The sequence below is a fragment of the Homo sapiens genome, chromosome 4, assembly GCF_000001405.40.
Source record: "Homo sapiens chromosome 4, GRCh38.p14 Primary Assembly".
Lineage (NCBI taxonomy): Eukaryota > Metazoa > Chordata > Mammalia > Primates > Hominidae > Homo > Homo sapiens.
The window spans coordinates 60,830,904-60,838,169 of NC_000004.12; the positions used below are offsets into that span (position 1 = coordinate 60,830,904).

Sequence of the window (7,266 nt, forward strand, 5' to 3'; positions counted from 1 at the left end):
TCTTTGGAATCTCCAGGTGGCAGGCATTTAAGTCTATATTTCTTTAATCTAGAGCCAAAATGACTTCCTGCACTGTTGCTGCCCTCATTTATGGTACTAGAAATTTATCTTCTCTTAATTAAGGGAATCAAACTACTACATTGGAGTGCCAAACATTAAACTTCAAGGATAGAAGCGACCATCTTAAGTTAAATATAACATATTTTGTTTTAATATTTGTTCTGGCCAGATTTTTTTGAACAAAGATCATTTTTATGTGCTTAACATATAAATAATGTATGTAAATATATTTAAAAGGTCTAATCATAAAGACAGGCTAGAGAGTCAAAAGAGGATAGTCAAAAACTGATTTTATTTATTTATTTTTTTCTTTTTTTTATTATTATGCTTTAAGTTTTAGGGTACATGTGCACAATGTGCAGGTTAGTTACATATGTATACATGTGCCATGCTGGTGCGCTGAGCCCACTAACTCGTCATCTAGCATTAGGTATATCTCCCAATGCTATCCCTCCCCCCTCCCCCCACCCAACAACAGGTCCCAGAGTGTGATGTTCCCCTTCCTGTGTCCATGTGTTCTCATTGTTCAATTCCCACCTATCAGTGAGAATATGCAGTGTTTGGTTTTTTGTTATTGCGATAGTTTACTGAGAATGATGATTTCCAATTTCATCCATGTTCCTACAAAGGATGTGAACTCATCATTTTTTATGGCTGCATAGTATTCCATGGTGTATATGTGCCACATTTTCTTAATCCAGTCTACCATTGTTGGGCATTTGGGTTGGTTCCAAGTCTTTGCTATTGTGAATAATGCCGCAATAAACATACGTGTGCATGTGTCTTTATAGCAGCATGATTTATAGTCCTTTGGGCATATACCCAGTAATGGGATGGCTGGGTCAAATGGTATTTCTAGTTCTAGATCCCTGAGGAATCGCCACACTGACTTCCACATTGGTTGAACTAGTTTACAGTCCCACTAACAGTGTAAAAGTGTTCCTATTTCTCCACATCCTCTCCAGCACCTGTTGTTTCCTGACTTTTTTAATGATTGCCATTCTAACTGGTGTGAGATGGTATCTCATTGTGGTTTTGATTTGCATTTCTCTGATGGCCATTGATGGTGAGCATTTTTTCATGTGTTTTTTGGCTGCATAAATGTCTTCTTTTAAGAAGTGTCTGTTCATGTCCTTTGCCCACTTTTTGATGGGGTTGTTTGTTTTTTTCTTGTAAATTTGTTGGAGTTCATTGTAGATTCTGGATATTAGCCCTTTGTCAGATGAGTAGGTTGCGAAAATTTTCTCCCATTTTGTAGGTTGCCTGTTCACTCTGATGGCAGTTTCTTTTGCTGTGCAGAAGCTCTTGAGTTTAATTAGATCCCATTTGTCAATTTTGTCTTTTGTTGCCATTGCTTTTGGTGTTTTAGACATGAAGTCCTTGCCCATGCCTATGTCCTGAATGGTAAAGCCTAGGTTTTCTCCTAGGGTTTTTATGGTTTTAGGTCTAACGTTTAAGTCTTTAATCCATCTTGAATTAATTTTTGTATAAGGTGTAAGGAAGGGATCCAGTTTCAGCTTTCTACATATGGCTAGCCAGTTTTCCCAGCACCATTTATTAAATAGGGATTCCTTTCCCCATTGCTTGTTTTACTCAGGTTTGTCAAAGATCAGATAGTTGTAGATATGCGGCGTTATTTCTGCGGGCTCTGTTCTGTTCCATTGATCTATATCTCTGTTTTGGTACCAGTACCATGCTGTTTTGGTTACTGTAGCCTTGTAGTATAGTTTGAAGTCAGGTAGTGTGATGCCTCCAGCTTTGTTCTTTTGGCTTAGGATTGACTTGGCGATGCAGGCTCTTTTTTGGTTCCATATGAACTTTAAAGTAGTTTTTTCCAATTCTGTGAAGAAAGGCATTGGTAGCTTGATGGGGATGGCACTGAATCTGTAAATTACCTTGGGCAGTATGGCCATTTTCATGATATTGATTCTTCCTACCCATGAGCATGGAATGTTCTTCCATTTGTTTGTATCCTCTTTTATTTCCTTGAGCAGTGGTTTGTAGTTCTCCTTGAAGAGGGCCTTCACGTCCCTTGTAAGCTGGATTCCTAGGTATTTTATATTCTTTGAACCAATTGTGAATGGGAGTTCACTCATGATTTGGCTCTCTGTTTGTCTGTTGTTGGTGTATAAGAATGCTTGTGATTTTTGTACATTGATTTTGTATCCTGAGACTTTGCTGAGGTTGCTTATCAGCTTAAGGAGATTTTGTGCTGAGATGATTGGGTTTTCTAGATATACAATCATGTCGTCTGCAAACAGGGACAATTTGACTTCCTTTTTTCCTAATTGAATACCCTTTATTTCCTTCTCCTGCCTAATTACCCTGGCCAGAACTTCCAACACTATGTTGAATAGGTGTGGTGAGAGAGGGCATCCCTGTCTTGTGCCAGTTTTCAAAGGGAATGCTTCCAGTTTTTGCCCATTCAATATGATATTGGCTGTGGGTTTGTCATAGATAGCTCTTATTATTTTGAAATACGTCCCATCAATACCTAATTTATTGAGAGTTTTTAGCATGAAGGGTTGTTGAATTTTGTCAAAGGCCTTTTCTCATCTATTGAGATAATCATGTGGTTTTTGTCTTCGCTTCTGTTTACATGCTGGATTACATTGCTTGATTTGCGTATATTGAACTAGCCTTGCATCCCAGGGATGAAGCCCACTTGATCATGGTGGATAAGCTTTTTGATGTGCTGCTGGATTCAGTTTGCCAGTATTTTATTGAGGATTTTTGCATCAATGTTCATCAAGGATATTGGTCTAAAATTCTCTTTTTTGGTTGTGTCTCTGCCCGGCTTTGGTATCAGGATGATGCTGGCCTCATAAAATGAGTTAGGGAGGATTCCCTCTTTTTCTATTGATTGGAATAGTTTCAGAAGGAATGGTACCAGTTCCTCCTTGTACCTCTGGTAGAATTCGGCTGTGAATCCATCTGGTCCTGGACTCTTTTTCGTTGGTAAGCTATTGATTATTGCCACAATTTCAGCTCCTGTTATTGGTCTATTCAGAGATTCAACTTCTTCCTGGTTTAGTCTTGGGAGAGTGTATGTGTCGAGGAATTTATCCATTTCTTCTAGATTTTCTAGTTTATTTGTGTAGAGGTGTTTATAGTATTCTCTGATGGTAGTTTGTATTTCTGTGGGATCGGTGGTGATATCCCCTTTATCATTTTTTATTGCGTCTATTTGATTCTTCTCTCTTTTTTTCTTTATTAGTCTTGCTAGTGGTTTAACAATTTTGTTGATCCTTTCAAAAAACCAGCTCCTGGATTCATTAATTTTTTGAAGGATTTTTTGTGTCTCTATTTCCTTCAGTTCTGCTCTGATTTTAGTTATTTCTTGCCTTCTGCTAGCTTTTGGATGTGTTTGCTCTTGCCTTTCTAGTTGTTTTAATTGTGAAGTGAGGGTGTCAATTTTGGATCTTTCCTGCTTTCTCTTGTGGGCATTTAGTGCTATAAGTTTCCCTCTACACACTGCTTTGAATGTGTCCCAGAGATCCTGGTATGTTGTGTCTTTGTTCTCGTTGGTTTCAAAGAACATCTTTATTTCTGCCTTCATTTCGTTATGTACCCAGTAGTCATTCAGGAGCAGGTTGTTCAGTGGATGTAGTTGAGTGGTTTTGAGTGAGATTCTTAATCCTGAGTTCTAGTTTGATTGCACTGTGGTCTGAGAGAGAGTTAGTTATAATTTCTGTTCTTTTACATTTGCTGAGGAGAGCTTCACTTCCAACTATGTGGTCAATTTTGGAATAAGTGTGGTGTGGTGCTGAAAAAAATGTATATTCTGTTGAATTGGGGTGGAGAGTTCTGTAGATGTCTATTAGGTCTGCTTGGTGCAGAGCTGAGTTCAATTCCTGGGTATCCTTGTTGACTTTCTGTCTCGTTGATCTGTCTAATGTTGACAGTGGGGTGTTAAAGTCTCTCATTATTAATGTGTGGGAGTCTAAGTCTCTTTGTAGGTCACTCAGGACTTGCTTTATGAATCTGGGTGCTCCTGTATTGGGTGCATATATATTTAGGATAGTTAGCTCTTCTTGTTGAATTGATCCCTTTACCATTATGTAATGGCCTTCTTTGTCTCTTTTGATCTTTGTTGGTTTAAAGTCTGTTTTATCAGAGACTAGGATTGCAACCCCTGCCTTTTTTTGTTTTCCATTGGCTTGGTAGATCTTCCTCCATCCTTTTATTTTGAGCCTATGTGTGTCTCTGCACGTGAGATGGGTTTCCTGAATACAACACACTGATGGGTCTTGACTCTTTATCCAATTTGCCAGTCTGTGTCTTTTAATTGGAGCATTTAGTTCATTTACATTTAAAGTTAATATTGTTATGTGTGAATTTGATCCTGTCATTATAATGTTAGCTGGTTATTTTGCTCGTTAGTTGATGCAGTTTCTTCGTAGTCTCGATGGTCTTTACATTTTGGCATGATTTTGCAGTGCCTGGTACCAGTTGTTCCTTTCCATGTTTAGCACTTCCTTCAGGAGCTCTTTTAGTGCACGCCTGGTGGTGACAAAATCTCTCAGCATTTGCTTGTCTGTAAAGTATTTTATTTCTCCTTCACTTATGAAGCTTAGTTTGGCTGGATATGAAATTCTGGGTTGAAAATTCTTTTCTTTAACAATGTTGAATATTGTCCCCCACTCTCTTCTGGCTTGTAGAGTTTCTGCCAAGAGATCCTCTGTTAGTCTGATGGGCTTCCCTTTGAGGGTAACCCGACCTTTCTATCTGGCTGCCCTTAACATTTTTTCCTTCATTTCAACTTTGGTGAATCTGACAATTATGTGTCTTGGAGTTGCTCTCCTCGAGGAGTATCTTTGTGGCGTTCTCTGTATTTCCTGAATCTGAATGTTGGCCTGCCTTGCTAGTTTGGCAAAGTTCTCCTGGATAATATCCTGCAGAGTGTTTTCCAACTTGGTTCCATTCTCTCCGTCACTTTCAGGTACACCAATCAGAAGTAGATTTGGTCTTTTCACAGTCCCATATTTCTTGGAGGCTTTGCTCATTTCTTTTTATTCTTTTTTCTCTATACTTCCCTTCTCGCTTTTCATTCATTTCATCTTCCATCACTGATACCCTTTCTTCCAGTTGATCGCATCAGCTCCTGAGGCTTCTGCATTCTTTAGGTAGTTCTCTAGCCTTGGTTTTCAGCTCCATCAACTCCTTTAAGCACTTCTCTGTATTGGTTATTCTAGTTATACATTCTTCTAAATTTTTTTCAAAGTTTTCAACTTCTTTGCCTTTGGTTTGAATGTCCTCCCGTAGCTCGGAGTAATTTGATCGTCTGAGGCCTTCTTCTCTCAGCTCGTCAAAATCATTCTCCGTCCAGCTTTGTTCCGTTGCTGGTGAGGAACTGCGTTCCTTTGGAGGAGGAGTGGTGCTCTGCTTTTTAGAGTTTCCAGTTTTTGTGCTCTGTTTTTTCCCCATCTTTGTGGTTTTATCTACTTTTGGTCTTTGATGATGGTGATGTACAGATGGGTTTTTGGTGTTGATGTCCTTTCTGTTTGTTAGTTTTCCTTCTAACAGACAGGACCCACAGCTGCAGGTCTTTTGGAGTACCCGGCCCTGTGAGGTGTCAGTGTGCCCCTGCTGGGGGGTGCCTCCCAGTTAGGCTGCTCCGGGGGTCAGGGGTCAGGGACCCACTTGAGGAGGCAGTCTGCCGGTTCTCAGATCTCCAGCTGCGTGCTGGGAGAACCACTGCTCTCTTCAAAGCTGTCAGACAGGGACATTTAAGTCTGCAGAGGTTACTGCTGTCTTTTTGTTTGTCTGTGCCCTGCCCCCAGAGGTGGAGCCTACAGAGGCAGGCAGGCCTCCTTGAGCTGTGGTGAGCTCCACCCAGTTCGAGCTTCCCGGCTGCTTTGTTTACCTAATCAAGCCTGGGCAATGGCGGGCGCCCCTCCCCCAGCCTCGCTGTCGCCTTGCAGTTTGATCTCAGACTGCTGTGCTAGCAATCAGCGAGACTCTGTGGACCTAGGACCCTCCGAACCAGGTGCGGGATATAATCTCGTGGTGCGCCGTTTTTTAAGCCCGTCGGAAAAGCGCAGTATTAGGTGGGAGTGACCCGATTTTCCAGGTGCCGTCTGTCACCCCTTTCTTTGACTAGGAAAGGGACCTCCCTGACCCCTTGCACTTCCCTTTTGAGGCAATGCGTCGCCCTGCTTCGGCTCATGCACGGTGTGCACACCCACTGTCCTGCGCCCACTGTCTGGCACTCCCTAGTGAGATGAACCCGGTACCTCAGATGGAAATGCAGAAATCACCCTTCTTCTGCGTCACTCACGCTGGGAGCTGTAGACCAGAGCTGCTCCTATTCGGCCATCTAACAACAAACTGATTTTAATAGCAAAACTTAAAATTATTGAGTTGAATTTCCTGTTTTTCTGGAAAAAGGAAATGCACCCTAGATGTGCATTCAAGAAAGTCACTAGATTAATTTGGTGATACTGCAAAATTCTTCCTCATTTAGATATCATTTATTAATTTAAAGAGGGTTTACAATCTGTAAAATACCTAGTACTAAATGGTTGACCAATTTTCCCCATATATTCCCCATCTATTTCATTCATATATATATATATATAATATATATATATATACACACACACATCTTTGAAGACATTTTATTCTTATAAATTCACATTCCAAATCTTCAGCAAAGTTTTAAGTACAATCGTGTTCAGTATTTCTGTAAGAGCCCTGTCCAGTAGAACTTTCCACAGTGATAGTCACATTTCGAGTCCTCAACAGCCACATGTGGCTAGTGGTTTACATGTGGCTGTTGAGCATTTGAAATGTGACTAGTGTAACTGAGGAGCTGAAAAGTTAGTTTTGTTTAATTTTAAATAATTTTAAGTTTAAATGGTCACATATTATTAATGGCTACTCGACTGGACAATGCAGAGTTAACAGACTACCACCCAAGTCCTTGACAACTCATTCAGGCTTCATTCTTTAAGAAAATTAATTAGTATTTTATGCTTAATGATTATGTTTTTCTTCACATATATGCAAGTAGATATCCAGCAGCATTTCTATTTATTTCTCTGTTTTATAGTGTACTATCTTAAATTAAAAAATTAATGACATCTGCCATCAGTGGGTACAGGGCAAAAAAAGAATTAATGACAGTTTAAAATCTCATCTATGCTTTATCATAGTGATGCACTCTTGGGAATTAAGCAGCTTCGCATAATTAGCAGGTCACAC

At 40.0% G+C, this 7,266-nt stretch overlaps 1 annotated feature.

Annotated features, from left to right (window-relative positions):
- Positions 5,943–6,713: an enhancer, noted in NCBI's record as "OCT4-NANOG-H3K27ac-H3K4me1 hESC enhancer chr4:61702564-61703334 (GRCh37/hg19 assembly coordinates)". NCBI's record gives its function as "activates a minimal SCP1, AML or CMV promoter by ChIP-STARR-seq in primed H9 embryonic stem cells {active_cell/tissue: H9 hESC(primed)}" and the evidence as "EXISTENCE:reporter gene assay evidence [ECO:0000049][PMID:30033119]".